Consider the following 16,347-nt stretch of genomic DNA (forward strand, 5'->3'; position numbering starts at 1 on the left):
AGAAGGGGAGTGAGAGAGGGGTTGAGAAGGGGATTGAGAGTGGGGGTGAGAAGGGAAGTGAGAGTGGGGGTTGAGAAGGGGAGTGAGAGAGAGGGTGAGAAGGGGAGTGAGAGTGGGGGTGAGAAGGGGAGTGAGAGAGGGGGTGAGAAGGGAAGTGAGAGTGGGGGTTGAGAAGGGGAGTGAGAGAGAGGGTGAGAAGGGGAGTGAGAGAGGGGTTGAGAAGGGGAGTGAGAGTGGGGGTGAGAAGGGGAGTGAGAGTGGGGGTGAGAAGGGGAGTGAGAGTGGGGGTGAGAAGGGGAGTGAGAGTGGGGGTGAGAAGGGGAGTGAGAGAGGGGGTTGAGAAGGGGAGTGAGAGAGAGGGTGAGAAGGGGAGTGAGAGTGGGGGTGAGAAGCGGAGTGAGAGTGGGGGTGAGAAGGGGAGTGAGAGTGGGGGTGAGAAGGGGAGTGAGAGTGGGGGTGAGAAGGGGAGTGAGAGAGGGGTTGAGAAGGGGAGTGAGAGTGGGGGTGAGAAGGGGAGTGAGAGTGGGGGTGAGAAGGGGAGTGAGAGTGGGGGTGAGAAGGGGAGTGAGAGTGGGGGTGAGAAGGGGAGTGAGAGAGAGGGTGAGAAGGGGAGTGAGAGTGGGGGTGAGAAGGGGAGTGAGAGAGGGGTTGAGAAGGGGAGTGAGAGTGGGGGTGAGAAGGGGAGTGAGAGAGGGGTTGAGAAGGGGAGTGAGAGTGGGGGTGAGAAGGGGAGAGTGGGGGTGAGAAGGGGAGTGAGAGTGGGGGTGAGAAGGGGAGTGAGAGTGGGGGTGAGAAGGGGAGTGAGAGTGGGGGTGAGAAGGGGAGTGAGAGTGGGGGTGAGAAGGGGAGTGAGAGAGGGGTTGAGAAGGGGAGTGAGAGTGGGGGTGAGAAGGGGAGTGAGAGTGGGGGTGAGAAGGGGAGTGAGAGTGGGGGTGAGAAGGGGAGTGAGAGTGGGGGTGAGAAGGGGAGTGAGAGTGGGGGTGAGAAGGGGAGTGAGAGGGGGTGAGAAGGGGAGTGAGAGTGGGGGTGAGAAGGGGAGTGAGAGTGGGGGTGAGAAGGGGAGTGACAGAGGGTGTGAGAAGGGAAGTGAGAGTGGGGGTGAGAAGGGGAGTGAGAGAGGGGGTGAGAAGGGAAGTGAGAGTGGGGGTTGAGAAGGGGAGTGAGAGAGAGGGTGAGAAGGGGAGTGAGAGTGGGGGTTGAGAAGGGGAATGAGAGAGAGGGTGAGAAGGGGAGTGAGAGTGGGGGTGAGAAGGGGAGTGAGAGTGGGGGTGAGAAGGGGAGTGAGAGTGGGGGTGAGAAGGGGAGTGAGAGAGAGGGTGAGAAGGGAAGTGAGAGTGGGGGTTGAGAAGGGGAGTGAGAGAGAGGGTGAGAAGGGGAGTGAGAGAGGGGTTGAGAAGGGGAGTGAGAGTGGGGGTGAGAAGGGGAGTGAGAGTGGGGGTGAGAAGGGGAGTGAGAGAGGGGTTGAGAAGGGGAGTGAGAGTGGGGGTGAGAAGGGGAGTGAGAGTGGGGGTGAGAAGGGGAGTGAGAGAGGGGTTGAGAAGGGGAGTGAGAGAGGGGTTGAGAAGGGGAGTGAGAGTGGGGGTGAGAAGGGAAGTGAGAGTGGGGGTTGAGAAGGGGAGTGAGAGAGAGGGTGAGAAGGGGAGTGAGAGTGGGGGTGAGAAGGGGAGTGAGAGAGGGGGTGAGAAGGGAAGTGAGAGTGGGGGTTGAGAAGGGGAGTGAGAGAGAGGGTGAGAAGGGGAGTGAGAGTGGGGGTGAGAAGGGGAGTGAGAGTGGGGGTGAGAAGGGGAGTGAGAGAGGGGTTGAGAAGGGGAGTGAGAGTGGGGGTGAGAAGGGGAGTGAGAGTGGGGGTGAGAAGGGGAGTGAGAGTGGGGGTGAGAAGGGGAGTGAGAGAGAGGGTGAGAAGGGGAGTGAGAGTGGGGGTGAGAAGGGGAGTGAGAGTGGGGGTGAGAAGGGGAGTGAGAGAGGGGTTGAGAAGGGGAGTGAGAGTGGACCCTGGGAAGTGTGTTCCCCCGTGTAGACACTCATCCCTTGCACTGCTCAGGGTGGGGTCTCGCTGCTTCGGCCTTTGACCTCGTGATAACGACATTCTTTGGATATGAAGGTGTCCCCACAGAACCTGCCACCATTCCTTAAGCTGTTCCTTATCCTCCCTTGTTAATTCCTCTCCAAATCCCTGTCTTTCCCCCCTTTCCTGAGGGGCCCATTTCCCCGGGAGATAGCTATTCCAAGCGGAATCTGCTTCTCCACCTCTTCGAACTTGGCTAGAAGAGGTAGGAAGGACATCAGGAGGAATCTTCTGCATCGGACTGCAATTTGCTTTATTTTTAAATTTTCTTCCTCCTGGAGCACTTTAAAAATAAAATATTGCCAATCTCTTATGCTGAAATCTGATATCCAAAACAACTTCAGATAAGATCTTTATCTACTCTTTTGCTCTGATTATTCCCAACTTCCTGGTGTACCTCCCCCTGCCCCTGCCACAATCAACCTATTATGCTTGGAGAGTACCGGTACCTTATCTGACCTTAGATTACTTTACAAGGCCCTCTTACACTAAGTAACTGAAGAATGTGGCCAATCCAGCCTTCTATATTCTTGGATTTATCCCTGGCTTGTACCTTGGAAGGATGAGATCCAATACGCCACCATAGGAAAATGAAAAAATGCTGAAATGTGCAAAGGTTAAAATAAAAATTGCATGCAATTTTACAACATGCAGATAACCAGTGCTTATATTTTTGTGTATATTTTTCTAACCCTTTGTTTTTTAATGTATGTATGTTTTTAACAAAATGAAAAAAAGGTTACCTTAATATTACATAGTGAACTTCCTTCAATCATTAGATAGTTCTTTAAAATATGAACTTTTATATTCCTAAATGTATAAGCATGTGTCTTCTACAAATTAGCACATTTTATTACATTTCTTATGCAAAAATCTACATTCAATAAATGATACGATATTATCTAATAAACACTTCATATAAAAATTTCTCACTTGTCCTTGTAATGTTCTTTATAGTTGTTTTTCAGTCTTCCAGTAACCAGAAATAATATAGGAGCATGCATTGAATTTAATTGTCTCAGAAACTATGATTTTTTTTTTTTTTTTACTTTTTTTTTTTTTTTGAGATGGTGTCTCACTCTGTTACCCAGGCTGGAGTGCAGTGGTGCGATCTGGGCTCACTGCAACCTCTGCCTCCCAGGTTCAAACAATTCTCCTGTCTCAGCCTCCCCAGTAGCTGGGACTACAGGCGCACACCACCATGCCTGGCTCATTTTTGTATTATTATTATTATTTTTCAATAGAGACTGGGTTTCACCATATTGGTCAGGCTTGTCTCGTACTCCTGACCTCAGGTGATCCACCCGCTTCGGCCTCCCAAAGCACTGGGGGATTACAGGTGTGAGCCACCACACCCGGCCTGATTTTTTTTTTTTTTTTTTTGAGATGGAGTCCCACTCTGTCGCCCAGGCTGGAGTGCAATGGCATGATCTTGGCTCACTGTAACCTCCACCTCCCGGGTTCAAGTGATTCTCCTGCGTCAGCCTCCCTAGTAGCTGGGTTTACAGGCACGTGCCACCACACTCGGCTAATTTTTGTATTTTTAGTAGAGATGGGGTTTCACTATGTTGGCCAGGCTGGTCTTGAACTCCTGACCTCGTGATCCACCTGCCTTGGCCTCCCAAAGTGCTGGGATTACAGGCATGAGCCACCACGTCCGGCAGAAAATATGATTTTTAATGGGAGTAGTATTTCATTATATGACTGTCCCTAATTTATGTAATCATTCCACTATTGTGCAGCATTCAGATTTTCTGTTGGTAACTATTATACCTCCCACTGTGGTGAACACAGTGCACATAAGCCCCTGGGTGTCTCTCTAATTCTTCCCCAAGTGTGTCTCCGGCAGGCAGGAAAGCTTACTGTGTGTCCTGCACCGTGTGCGTGTTGGTTGTACCCTCCCTTCGTTCTACCTGCACTGCAAGGCGTCCCAAAGGCTTCCCTCACACCCCCACACCGAAGGGACAGACACACTAGTTCCAGACCAGAGAAAGACCATGTTTGCCCCTGCCTTGCGGTCTCACCAGAGCATTGCGTTTATTCCCCAAGAAACTACACTGAGTGGAATTGGAGTAGGGCTTAGACTTTGAAACTAGACACTCAGGCTGGGCGATGGCTCACACCTGTAATCCCAGCACTTTGGGAGGCTGAGGCGAGTGGATCACCTGAGATCAGGAGTTCGAGACCAGCCTGACCAACATGGAGAAACCCCGTCTCTACTAAAAATACAAAAATTAGCCGGGTGTGGTGGTGTGGATCTGTAATCCCAGCTACTCAGGAGGCTGAGGCAGGAGAATCGCTTGAACCCAGGAGGCAGAGATTGCGGTGAGCTGAGATTGCGCCATTGTACTCCACCCTGGACAACAAGAGCAAAACTCTGTCTCAAAAAAAAAAAAAAAAAAAAAAAGGCCTGGCGCAGTGGCTCACGCCTGTAATCCCAGCACTTTGGGAGGCCGAGGCGGGCAGATCACGAGGTCGAGAGATTGAGACCATCCTGGCTAACACAGTGAAACCCCGTCTCTACTAAAAATACAAAAATTAGCCAGGCGTGGTGGCGCATGCCTGTAATTCCAACTACTTGGGAGGCTGAGGCAGGAGAATCACTTGAACCCGGGAGACAGAGGTTGCAGTGAGCCGAGATGGCGCCACTGCACTCCAGCCTGGTGGCAGAGAGAGACTCTGTCTCAAAAAAAAAAAAAAGAAAAAATAATTTAAAAATTACAAATGATAAAATTAGGCCCAGTGTCTTAGAGAGTATCAAATAAATAAGGGCCTGAAACTTAAGTTTCTCTAGCTCCATTGTACATCTGCCTCTGGGTTAGCCAGATACGAAGATGAAGCACAAAGGCAGTAAAGCCAGGTCTGCTGGGTTCAAATCTCAGCTCCACCACTCACCACTTACTAACTGTACCAGCTTGTCTCCCCATGCCTCAGTCCCCTCATCAGGAAAATGTGTTTGAAAATAATATCCGGGCCAGTACATGGTAACCTCAGCAAGTTGGGAGGCCCAGGCAGGAGGATCGCTTGAGCCCCGCTCAAGACCAGCCTGGGCAATATAGTGAGACCCCAAGTAATACTATTACCAAAAATAAAAAGAATGAGCCAGGTATGGTGGCACACACCTGTGGTCCCAGTTACTAAGGAGGCTGAGGTGGGAGCATCACTTAAGCCTGGGAGGTCGAGGCTGCAGTGAGCCGTGATTGTGCCATTGCATTCCAGCCTGAGCGACAGAGCGATACCCTCTCTCAAAAAAAAAAAAAAAAAAAAAGGAAATAATACTGCTTCACAGGGCTGTCTAGGGCTGTCGTATGCATGAAATGACATAACACTTGTACTTGGAGCATCACTTAATTTCAGGTGTAAGCACTCAACAGTGCTAACTATGAATCGCTCCTCACCAAGCTTGGACGTCTACACTAGCATGACGCTGTTTGAGGTTTTAGACACTGCCCTGATTCCTCACAGTTCTGACCAAGAACCTGAAACTGAGGTCGGAATATTGCCTTCTATTCCTCCCATTTCTGCCTGGGGGTCCTGGTTCTGTCCTTACTGTCCTTACGGAAACTCTACCTCACCAGTTTTGCAATGGCCTCTGTGGGGTCCCCCAGTAACCCTTCTCCCCTACTTCACTTTCTTTCTGTGCCCTGACCAAGAATCACAGAGTGTCCTGACAGCTCTTCACCCAGCCAGGTGCAAGCTTCTCCCAGCACGCCCAAACCCAAACCGGGCCCAAACCGGAGTCTCGAACATTCCCAGACACTCATTAAGGTCTCGAGGTTGTCGCCCGAAACACGGAAAGAAACTGGCCCTGGCCCCTAACCAAATTTCTTAAAACTCTCACATTCCATAATCCCTGAACCCCTCACTGCAGACACACGCAGGTAGAACACCTTTTTTTTGAGATGGAGTTTCACTCTGTCACCCAGGCTGAAGTGCAGTGGAGTGGTCTCAGCTCACTGCAGCCTCTGCCTCCCGGGTTCAAGCAATTCTCGTGTCTCAGCCTCTTGAGTAGCTGAGATTACAGGCGCATACCACCACGCCCTGCTAATTTTTGTATTTTTAGTAGAGACGGGGTTTCACCACGTTGGCCAGGCTGGTCTTGAACTCCTGACCTCAGGTGATCCGCCCGCCTCAGCCTCCCAAAGAGCTGGGATTACAGGTTTGAGCCACTGTGCCCAGTCTCTCTTTTTTTTTTTTCTGGTTATTATATAAATACTTTTTAAAAATGTAATTTAATTTTCAGTTCTGGAATGTATGTGCAGGACACGCAGGTTTGTTACATAGGTAAACATGTGCCACGGTGGTTTGCTGAACCTATCACCCCGTCATTTAGGTATTTAAGCCCCGCATGTATTCACTATTTATCTTGATGTTCTCCCTCCCCCTGCCCCACCGACAGGCCCCAGTGTGTGTTGTTCCCCTCCCTGTGTCCATACAGAGCACCCCTTTCTCTCCAAGGATCGCTGTGGCCTCTGTAAGCTCCCCTCATAACTGCTCTGAACTGAGCACCCTGCTGATGAGGGCTTCTTTCTTTGGAATCCCAATCGACCCCATCCTGGAACAGTTCAGAGTACTCCCTTGTGGGAATTCCCCCGCCGCTGCTTTTGGGGTGATTCCAGCGTTGGGTTGGCTGGACAAAACAGCCTCGAAGCATACTGCCCCAAATCTGGTCCTTCTGAGTTTCTGATTCCCTCACTCTTCATCTCTTATGACGCCTTCCTAAACATTCCTGAGAGTTTCAAACATTGTCTTTCATTTGACTCAGGGATTCATCATCCGCTTCCTGTTGAAATAGTAAACGCCTCCACATGGACTCACGGGTTCACCTCCTTCCGGTCTGAACAGTGAACTCCTCCGCATCAACTCACCCATTCACCCCTTCCGGTCTAAACAGTGAACGCCTCCGCATGGACTCACGAGTTCACCTCCTTCCGGTCTAAACAGTGAACGCCTCCGCATCGACTCACGGGTTCACCTCCTTCCGGTCTGAACAGTGAACTCCTCCGCATGGACTCACGGGTTCACCTCCTTCCGGTCTGAACAGTGAACGCCTCCGCATCGACTCACGGGTTCACCTCCTTCCGGTCTGAACAGTGAACTCCTCCGCATGGACTCACGGGTTCACCTCCTTCCGGTCTGAACAGTGAACTCCTCCGCATCGACTCACGGGTTCACCTCCTTCCGGTCTGAACAGTGAACTCCTCCGCATGGACTCACGGGTTCACCTCCTTCCGGTCTGAACAGTGAACTCCGCATCGACTCACGCGTTCACCTCCTTCCGGTCTAAATGGTAAACTCCTCTGCATTGTAAGTCAGTGTCTAGAGTGGTGATTTGCTTTCTGGGGTGTGTTTTTCACAGTGATGGTGGATCCACAAATTTCAAACAAATTCTTTCTCCACCAGTTCTGTTCGGTTCTATTTTGGTGGGGCCCACGCGTCATCACAGAGTATCTGGGAGCCCTGCCCTCTTGCAGATGGGAATGAAGGCCCAGGTGCTCTGGAGAGGTGACTCTCCTCTAGGTGAGGGGTGTGTGTGTGAGAGGAGTGAGGTGCGGTGTGGGAGGGTCCTTGCAGGGTCCGGCTGCTTTCGGAGGCTGTTTTTCTCAGCTCCCCGTTTTGTCCCTCCAAATTGTGCCCCTCTCCTTCCAATTGTCACTCTCCTTTCCCCCAACCCTCCCTGTCTCCCAGTTGTCTCGCTTCTCAGAAAGGAAACACTGGTTCTGTAAACCTGTTTGAGAAGAAAAGCTCGAGGTTTCTTGGCCTCTCTGCTTCTGGAGCCAGGGGAAAAAATAGCCCCAGGCTGAAGACAGGAGGGACCAGATTGCTGCTTGGTGATGCGATCTCACTGCAGAGGCAGCCAGGAGACCCTCCTGAGACGAATCGGAGAGTCCATGCTGCTTTTACACACATCCTAGTTCTTTTATAACTAGCCTTTTCCTATTAACGGACATCATTCAAAAGCCAGTTTTAAGCAACATAAATATTGAAAACAATACTATACTATTTAGAATTAATTATAAGTTTTGTTTTTAAAGCCTAAATCTTTTATTGTTGTTTGAACCCTGGGCACTGAAGCTAATAATGTAACTTTTCTCCCTTCTTTCTTCTTTGGCATAGATTTAAAGAACTGTTAGACTCATTTAAAATGCTATTAGGCATTTTAAAGAGTAATTGTTAAATGTGTTGTCTCTTGTGGGACTGGAAATGTTCTGTTCTTATCTGGCGCTGGTTACATCCTGTTTTTCATTTGGGAAAGTGCATTGAGCTGGAAATTTATATGTTCAATTTCTGTATGTAAATTGTACTTCAGTAAAAATTTTCAAAAAAGTGGCTGCCTTTTATAGCAGGTGTCCCATGCGCATATATATATATATATATATATATTTTTTTTTTTTTAAGAAGATGACCTCAAGACCAAGACCTGTTTAAAGGTGGGGAAGGAAGCAGGATTTGGCAGAGGGATAAGTCTAGCTGCCATGCAGGGACAGCTACAGGCTGCCTCAGCCACACACAGGGCGCCCTGGAGCTAAATTGGCTCTGCAAACTAGCCTGGCTGGAGTTGGACTGAGATATCCTAGCCGTTAGGCACTCTTGGGCAAGGTGGCTCCCCCAGCCGAGGCAGTTCCTGAAGGGGCTGACAGCTGCAGTCAGTCTATCTGCCCAGGGGATTCCCAGCAAAAGAGGCAACCAATTGCTGGGAGGAATCTGGGACATGCATCAAAGTGTCCACGTTGGCCTGGCGCAGTGGCTCACACCCATAATCCCAGCACTTTGGGAGGCCAAGGCGGACAGACCTGGAGTCAGGAGTTCGAGACCTTCCTGGCCAACATGGAGAAACCCCGCCTCTACTAAAAATACAAAAATTAGCTGGGTATGGTGGCACGTGCCTGTAATCCCAGCTACTTGGGAGGCTGAGGCAGGAGTATTACTTGGACCAGGGAGGTGGAGGTTGCAGTGAGCCGAGATCGGGCCACTGCACTGCAGCCTGGGCAAAAGGGCGAGACTCCATCTCAAAAAAAAAAAAAAAAAAAAAGTGTCTACCTTAATTCTGGAGACCAGGACTTCAGGAGGGAAGAGGTGGAGCAGAGTTCTGTTGGCCTTTCATTTTAAAACTCCATTTTATTTATATATTTATTTATTTATTGAGACAGAGTCTCACTCTATCACCCAGGCTGGAGTGCAGTGGTGCAATCTCTGCTCACTGCAACTTCTGCCTCCCAGGTTGAGGGGATTCTTGTGCCTCCGCCTCCCGAATAGCTGGAATTTCAGGCACGTGCCACTATGCCCAGCTAATTTTTTTTTTTTTTGTATTTTTAGTAGAGAATGGGGTTTTGCCATGTTGGCCAGGCTGGTCTCGAACTCCTGTCCTCAAGTGGTCTGCCCACCTTGGCCTCCCAAAGTGCTGAGATTACAGGTGTGAGCCGCTGTGCCTGGCCCAGCACTCTGTATTATTTAATTTTTAAAAATCCATGTAGGTGGCCTGGCGCAGTGGCTCATGCCTGTAATCCCAGCACTTTGGGAGGCTGAGGCAGGCGGATCACGAGGTCAGGAGATCGAGACCATCCTGGCTAACACGGTGAAACCCTGTCTCTACTAAAAACACAAAAAAATTAGCCAGGCGTGGTGGCAGGTGCCTGTAGTTCCAGCTACTCGGGAGGCTGAGGCAGGAGAATGGCGTGAACCTGGGAGGCAGAGCTTGCAGTGAGCTGAGATCGCACCACTGCACTCTGGCCTGGGTGACAAAGCGAGACTCCGTCTCAAAAAAAAAACAACTATGTTTACATATAGAGATATATATATTATCACATACTGAATGTACAAAGCTGTCCTTAATTCTTCAGGAGTTACATACATTGCTGTTGTTTTTTTTCTTATGAGCTACTATAAGGAAGAGGCTGAGAATGTCTTTAAAAAGAGCAGGCTGTGGAAGATCTAGTTGGTAGATCTTAGTTAGTATTCTGCTCTAGAAATCAGATTCTATTTTATCCGCCTCTTCTCATCTCCACCGCTTTTATCTTCCACTTCATGGATAAGATCTTGGCTCTGTGTTTGGATTCAGATGCTTATCTTTTCCCAGAAGCTTGGCCCTCTGGGGACTGTCATCCTGCCTTCCTCCCCTGATGGGTAATGGCTGATGGCTGCAGCTTTGTGCTTAGACGAGCAGCCACTGAGCCAGGCTGAGCTGCTGCTGGGCAGCCTCGGTGTGCATATGCAATCAAGGCAAAGAGAATAGCTATGACTGCAAGTCTCTTCTATGCATATGTCCTTTCTCGCTAATAACGATGATGATCTCTTGGATAACATATCCCAGATATTTCATGAATTCTCACATTTATGAAACGTCTGTAACAGGCCAAGTATGTGTATAACAGTTACACTACTTTTAGAAGGGTTAAAGAAGTTGCCTAGGCCGGGTGTGGTGGTTCATGCCTGTAATCCCAGTGCTTGGGGAGGCCAAGGCAGGAGGATCACTTTAGGCCAGGAGTTGAAGATTAGCCTGGGCCACATAGTGAGACCTCCAATTCTACAAAAATAAAATATATTAGCCGGCTGTTGCGGCACATGCCTGTTGGCCTAGAACTCAGGAGGCTGAGGAGGGAGGATCACTTGAGGCTAGGAGTTCAAGACCAGCTTGGGCAATATAGTGAGACCCTCATCTCTACAAAAATAAAATAAATTAGCCGGATGTGGTGGCACATGCCTGTAGTCGCAGCTACTTGGGAGGGCAGGAGGAAGTCGAGGCTACAGTGAGCCATAATTGCGCTACTGCACTCCAGCCTGGGTGACAGAGCAAGACTGTGTCTCCATAAGTAAATAAATAACCAGGCCGGTTGAAACAGCATTTGAATCAAGATGGTGGTCAATAGAATGCTGGGAACCACTGTGTTATTTTAATGATACTAAATTTGCTCATACAGAATTTCTATGAGAAAAAAAATCACAGGGGGAAGGAATAAGATGTTACAAGAGACCCAATTTTTTTCTTTCTCATGTTTCAGTTTCCTTCCTCTTTTTCTCCATTTTGCATTTGGTTGACCAGCACAGAAAAAAAAATTTTTTTCTAAAAAGCAAATTTATAAAAGTAAATTTATTTACTTTTTGGGGAACAAAATGTAGAATCTTAAAATGGCAGCAAAGTTTAGTCATAAAACAGAATCAGTAGAGTAAAATCTCACATTCTTGGTTATTAATTAACCAGAGGGTCCCATGAGTATTGCAAGCCAAGTATCAGTGCTCTGGACTTGAAATAACCAATAGTTTTCTCAATAGGGCTGAGGGTTTGCCGACTGCTGATTGATATTCATCAGCAAACCCCTGACATCCTGGTGTCAACATCTTAGGTAGCAGATGTTAACCTCTGGAACATTAATAAAAGGTGGTAGATCAAGGCCATACTGATGAGAAATTGGGGTATTATGGGAAGTCAGTCATTAAGAAGAATTATCCCTATAGTTTATAAGGATATATTTTATACATGTTTATCATTTTACCACCTTGTGAAAGGTCATTTTTAAAAAAGACCAAGATGGCCGGGCGTGGCTCACACCTGTAATTCCAGCACTTTGGGAGGCTGAGGCAGATGGATTGTTTGAGCTCAGGAGTTCAAGACGAGCCTGGGCAACCTGGTGAAACCCCATCTCTACCAGAAATACAAATATTAGCCAGGCGTGGTGGTGCATGCCTGTAGTCCCAGCTACTTGGGAAGCTGAGGCAAGAGAATTGCTTGAACTCAGGAAGGAGAGGTTGTAGCGAACCGAGATCACACCACTGCACTCCATCCTGGGCAACAGAGCAAGACTCCGTCTCAAAAAAAAAAAAAAAAAAAGTCTGGGTGTGGTGGCTCACCCCTGTAATCCCAGCACTTTGGGAGGCCAAGGTGGGCAGATGATGAGGTCAGGAGTTCGAGGCTAGCCTGGCCAACATAGTGAAACCCCGTTTCTACTAAAAATACAAAAAAATTAGCCAGGCATGGTGGCGCATACCTGTAGTCCCAGCTAGTCGGGAGGCTGAGGCAGGAGAATCACTTGAACCCAGGAGGCGGAGGTTGCGGTGAGCTGAGATCAGGCTCAAGCCTGGGCAACAGACCTAGACTCTGTCTCAAAAAATAAAAAGGAAAAAAAAAAAAAGACCAAGATGACTTTCGTCTTTTTCTTCTTTTGAGATCTACACAGGAACAGCTTTGAGGGCTGCTGTGCCTACACCTCAGCAGAGAGAAAAGACCACTGTTGGAGAAAGTTGTTAATTAAGGAACTTATTAAATGATAGAAACAAAGGAAAGGAAAACAATTTTGTCAATTTGGGCCAATGCTGACGAGCTAATTATTTTGCTAACCGAGATTCAAGGAGAGGAAAGAAAATCAATGAGCTGAAAAGGCATCTTATTTAATCTAAGAAACCTATTCAAAAAAGTTTGAGAACAAATTTTCTTTTCTTTTTTTTTTTTTCAGACAGAGTCTTGCTCTGTTGCCCAGGCTGGAGTGCAGTGGTGTGATCTCGGCTCACTGCAACCTCTGCCTCCTGGGCTCAAGCAATTCTCCTGCCTCAGCCTCCTGAGTAGCTGGGATTACAGGCACCCAACACCACACCCGGCTAATTTTTGTATTTTTAGTAGAGACTAGAAATACATGAGGTTTTGCCATGTTGGCCAGGCTGGTCAGGTCTTGAACTCCTGACCTCAAGTGATCCACCCACATCAACCTCCCAAAGTGCTGGGATTACAGGTGTGAGCCACCACGCCTGGCCTAAATTTTCTTTTTCTTTTTCTTTCTTTTTTTTAATTTGGTATCTCACACTGTTGTCCAGGCTGGAGTGCAATGGTGCGATCTTGGCTCACTGCCAGCTCCGCCTCCCGGGTTCACACAATTCTCCTGCCTCAGCTTCCCAAGTAGCTGGGACTACAGGCACACACCACCAAACCTGGCTAATTTTTTGTATTTTTAGTAGAGACGAGGTTTCACCATGTTAGCCAGGATGGTCTCAATCTCCTGACCTCGTGATCCACCTGCCTTGGGCTCCCAAAGTGCTGGGATTACAGGTGTGAGCCACTGCGCCCGGCCTAAATTTTCTTTTTCTGAAAGAAATAATGAAACCTCATTAAGTCACTATGTGCTAACTGGATGTTGATGATCTCATAATAGGTAAAGGCCAGGTGCTATACCAAAGATAACCCCAAATAGTGTAGATTAAACAGCAGAAAACTTTCTCTCAGGTAACCTTTCTTGGTGAATTAGTGGTCTCTGCTCCACAGAGTCATTCAGGAACTGGGACTAGCAGAGTGTCTCCGCCACACCCAGCACAGGGTTTTAAAGTCAGCTTCAGTCATGACCACTTCAAGCTGCTAGAAGCTGGGCAGGTAAGGGAGCCTGGAAGTTCAGAGCGAGAGGCTGTTCTTTCTTTCTTTCTTTCCTTCTTCTTTCCTTCTTTCCTTCTCTCTTTCTTTCGAGTTTTGCTCTTGTTACCCAGGCTGGATTGCAATGGCGTGATCTTGGCCTACTGCAAACTCCGCTTCCCGGGTTCAAGCGATTCTTCTGCCTTAGCCTCCTGAGTAGCTGGGATTACAGGCATGCACCACCATGACCAGCTAATTTTGTATTTTTAGCAGAGACAGGGTTTCTCCATGTTGGTCAGGCTGGTGTCAAACTCCCGACCTCAGGTGATTCGCTTGCCTCGGCCTCCCAAAGTGCTAGATTACAGGCGTGAGCCACCGTGCCTGGCGAGAGGCTGTTCTTTACCCGGATGACGCAGAAGCTTCAGCATCTCCTTGCCTCAGGTTCCACTGCTCATCCGGTCCAGGTGTCTGCGAAAATGGCTAGGTATTGGGTGCAGCCAAGCGCTAAGAGGAGAGCACATTTAGGGACCCCAGCAACCTCTGCAGCAGCTGCACTAAAACCTCACACACGTTACCTGCTTGACGGGAAAAATGCTTTGAAAAGCGTGCAGGCTTTCAATTCCTTATCCCCCTTGGGCTCAATGTGTTTTGAAAGTCAGGAATTTTTGGTTTATAGAAAAGTAACAAATTACACGCACTCTCCACTGTGTAGGACCCCAGTGGGGTCCGAGGCAGCACCCTTTACACAAATCGGTCAATATTCCTGGAGTGAAACATAAAAGTATTCATACGAAGTGGGATCAGTAAAGACTAAAAGCATCCTCCTGTCAGTGCGGGGCAGGTTGTCTCCGAATACACTTTTTTCCCCCGGATTGAGGAAAACACTTTTTAGGCCTGGATTGATAAATTGTTGATAAGAAATTACGGAACTGAATTAATGGTAAAACCATGTAAGTTAAGCATGATTGAGTAATTTTAAAGCAAAACTTCTAAAGCAATTATAATGACACAAGGTCAGATAATTTTTATTTAAGTTCTATCCTTTAAAATTATGGTTCTTTATATATAAATATAGTATTTGTGTGTATGGCAACTACAATAATGACAGGGTGGCTTAGAATTCTAGGAATAGGCCATGTGTGGTGGCTCATGCCTGTAATCCCAGCACTTTGGGAGGCTGAAGCAGGTGGATCACCTGAATCAGGAGATCGAGACCAGCCTGGCCAATATAGTGAAACCCCATCTCTATTAAAAATACAAAAATTAGCTGGGCGTGGTGGCGGGCGTCTGCAGTCCCAGCTACTCAGGAGGCTGAGGCAGGAGAGTCACGCGAACCTGGGAGGCAGAGGTTGCAGTGAGCCGAGATTGCACCACTGCACTCCAGACTGGGCGACAGAGTGAGACTCTGTCTCAAAAAAAAAAAAAAAAAAAAGTCTAGGAATAAAGGACTAAAAGAAGTCCCACACTCAACAGCAACACAGCTAACAAAGGTGGAAACGATGGCCCAGGAGGAGAGAGGATGGGCACAGGATTGGGAGAGTCCCTGTGTCCCCTGAGCAAAATTTCTAAAAGTAGATACTGTTTAAAAGGGAGGAAATACATTTGACATTGTGGCTGTCATGAGTGCAAGAGAAAGTGGTCAGTGGATGGTGCTAGGAAGCACCATTGTTCTCATCCATAACTGACTCTCACCCAGCTTAACCCCAGGACCTCTTCCTATAAGGCTGGAACCCCACTAGACCTTTGCCTCCAAGGGCCGCCCTGAACTTTCCTTTTCCTCCTTTTTGGAAGAGAAACTCGGAAATGCATGCGTTTTCATTCGGAGCTTGCTAACCATCCCTCAGTGCTCTCACATTTGGGTGCTGATTTGCGTCTCTGCACTTAGCATCACGCAAAATGTAGAAATGACCACTTTTTCCTGATGCCCAAGAAAAACTGGCTGAGATGCAGGAGTATCCCCAAACAGGAACTTGTGCCTGATCAATGTGAGCAGTGTGAATTTGGTCCTCCCGCTCCGGATGAGCTCAGCTTCACTCCAGGGTCCTATGAGAAGTGAGGGCTGGAAAATCTCTGTGTGAGAAACAGTATCACTTGAGGAAGTCTTAAGGCTTCTTAGAGCAGTTTCAGGTTCGAAGCAAAATTGAGAGAAACATAGAGAGATTTCCCATAAACTCCTGCCTCTGCACACATGCATCCTCCCCCATGATCACCTTTGCCCACTAGAGTGGTACCTTTGTCAGAACTGATGAGCCTACACGGGTACATCTTTATTATACAGAGTCCAGGGTTCACACTCGGGTTCACCCTTGGGCTCAATGTGTTTCAAAAGTGCTGCACATTCCTTGGGTTTGACCAGTGTATAATGACATGCATCCACCACTATCGTATTGTACTGAGTCGTTTCTCTGCCCTAAAAATCCTCTGTGCTCTACGTATTCATCCTTCTCTACCTAGTAACCCTTGGCAACCATTGATCTCTGTAATGTCTCCATAGCTTTGCCTTTTCCAAAACACCATATAGTTGGAATCACACAGTATGTCACTGACATTTTTTGGAGCAAGGATTTAGTGACTATTCCTTTCTACTAGGATAGACTGCTTCCTTGCCTACATCTTCTGCTGTGAGACAGCTTCACAGTCATCTCCATTTTGCTCTTAATGTGGGAAGAGTATTCCCATTTCTCACCATCTGTCCAAGAATACCCAGAGATGCCTGACAACTGAAAACAGCTTATGTTTAATAGCTTGATAGGCTACGATCTGATGGCACGACTCCCTAAGGAGGATCTGATCAGATCGCTCATATGAAAATACATTCAGTTCTGCTATTCACTTGTTTTGAAAATGCAAATTTGTTCCAATGCAATTGGTGTATTGGAGAACAATTCAAGCAGAATGAGAATTTCATGTTTGTGTATGCATGATTTCATCCATGAAAAACACTAGGTGAGCA

At 47.9% G+C, this 16,347-nt stretch overlaps 1 long non-coding RNA gene across 8 annotated transcripts, besides 1 other annotated feature; it reads left to right on the forward strand.

The window, feature by feature from the left end:
• Window positions 6,503–7,702: an enhancer, noted in NCBI's record as "P300/CBP strongly-dependent group 1 enhancer chr4:189080404-189081603 (GRCh37/hg19 assembly coordinates)". NCBI's record gives its function as "activates an origin of replication core promoter dependent on BRD2, BRD4, P300/CBP, MED14 and CDK7 cofactors, with strong dependence on P300/CBP, by STARR-seq in HCT116 cells {active_cell/tissue: HCT116}" and the evidence as "EXISTENCE:reporter gene assay evidence [ECO:0000049][PMID:35650434]".
• On the forward strand, window positions 7,306–8,392 carry LINC02434 (long intergenic non-protein coding RNA 2434). 8 transcript variants are annotated; one of them, NR_187420.1, is made up of 3 exons: window positions 7,306–7,372; window positions 7,469–7,585; window positions 7,754–8,392. It is a non-coding gene; the product is annotated as a long intergenic non-protein coding RNA 2434 (long non-coding RNA). The 8 variants fall into 8 exon arrangements; NR_187422.1 differs by having other exon boundaries at window positions 7,770–8,392; NR_187423.1 differs by having other exon boundaries at window positions 7,306–7,355.
• The last annotated feature ends 7,955 nt before the right edge of the window (window positions 8,393–16,347 follow it).

This window comes from Homo sapiens, chromosome 4 (genome assembly GCF_000001405.40).
Source record: "Homo sapiens chromosome 4, GRCh38.p14 Primary Assembly".
NCBI lineage: Eukaryota > Metazoa > Chordata > Mammalia > Primates > Hominidae > Homo > Homo sapiens.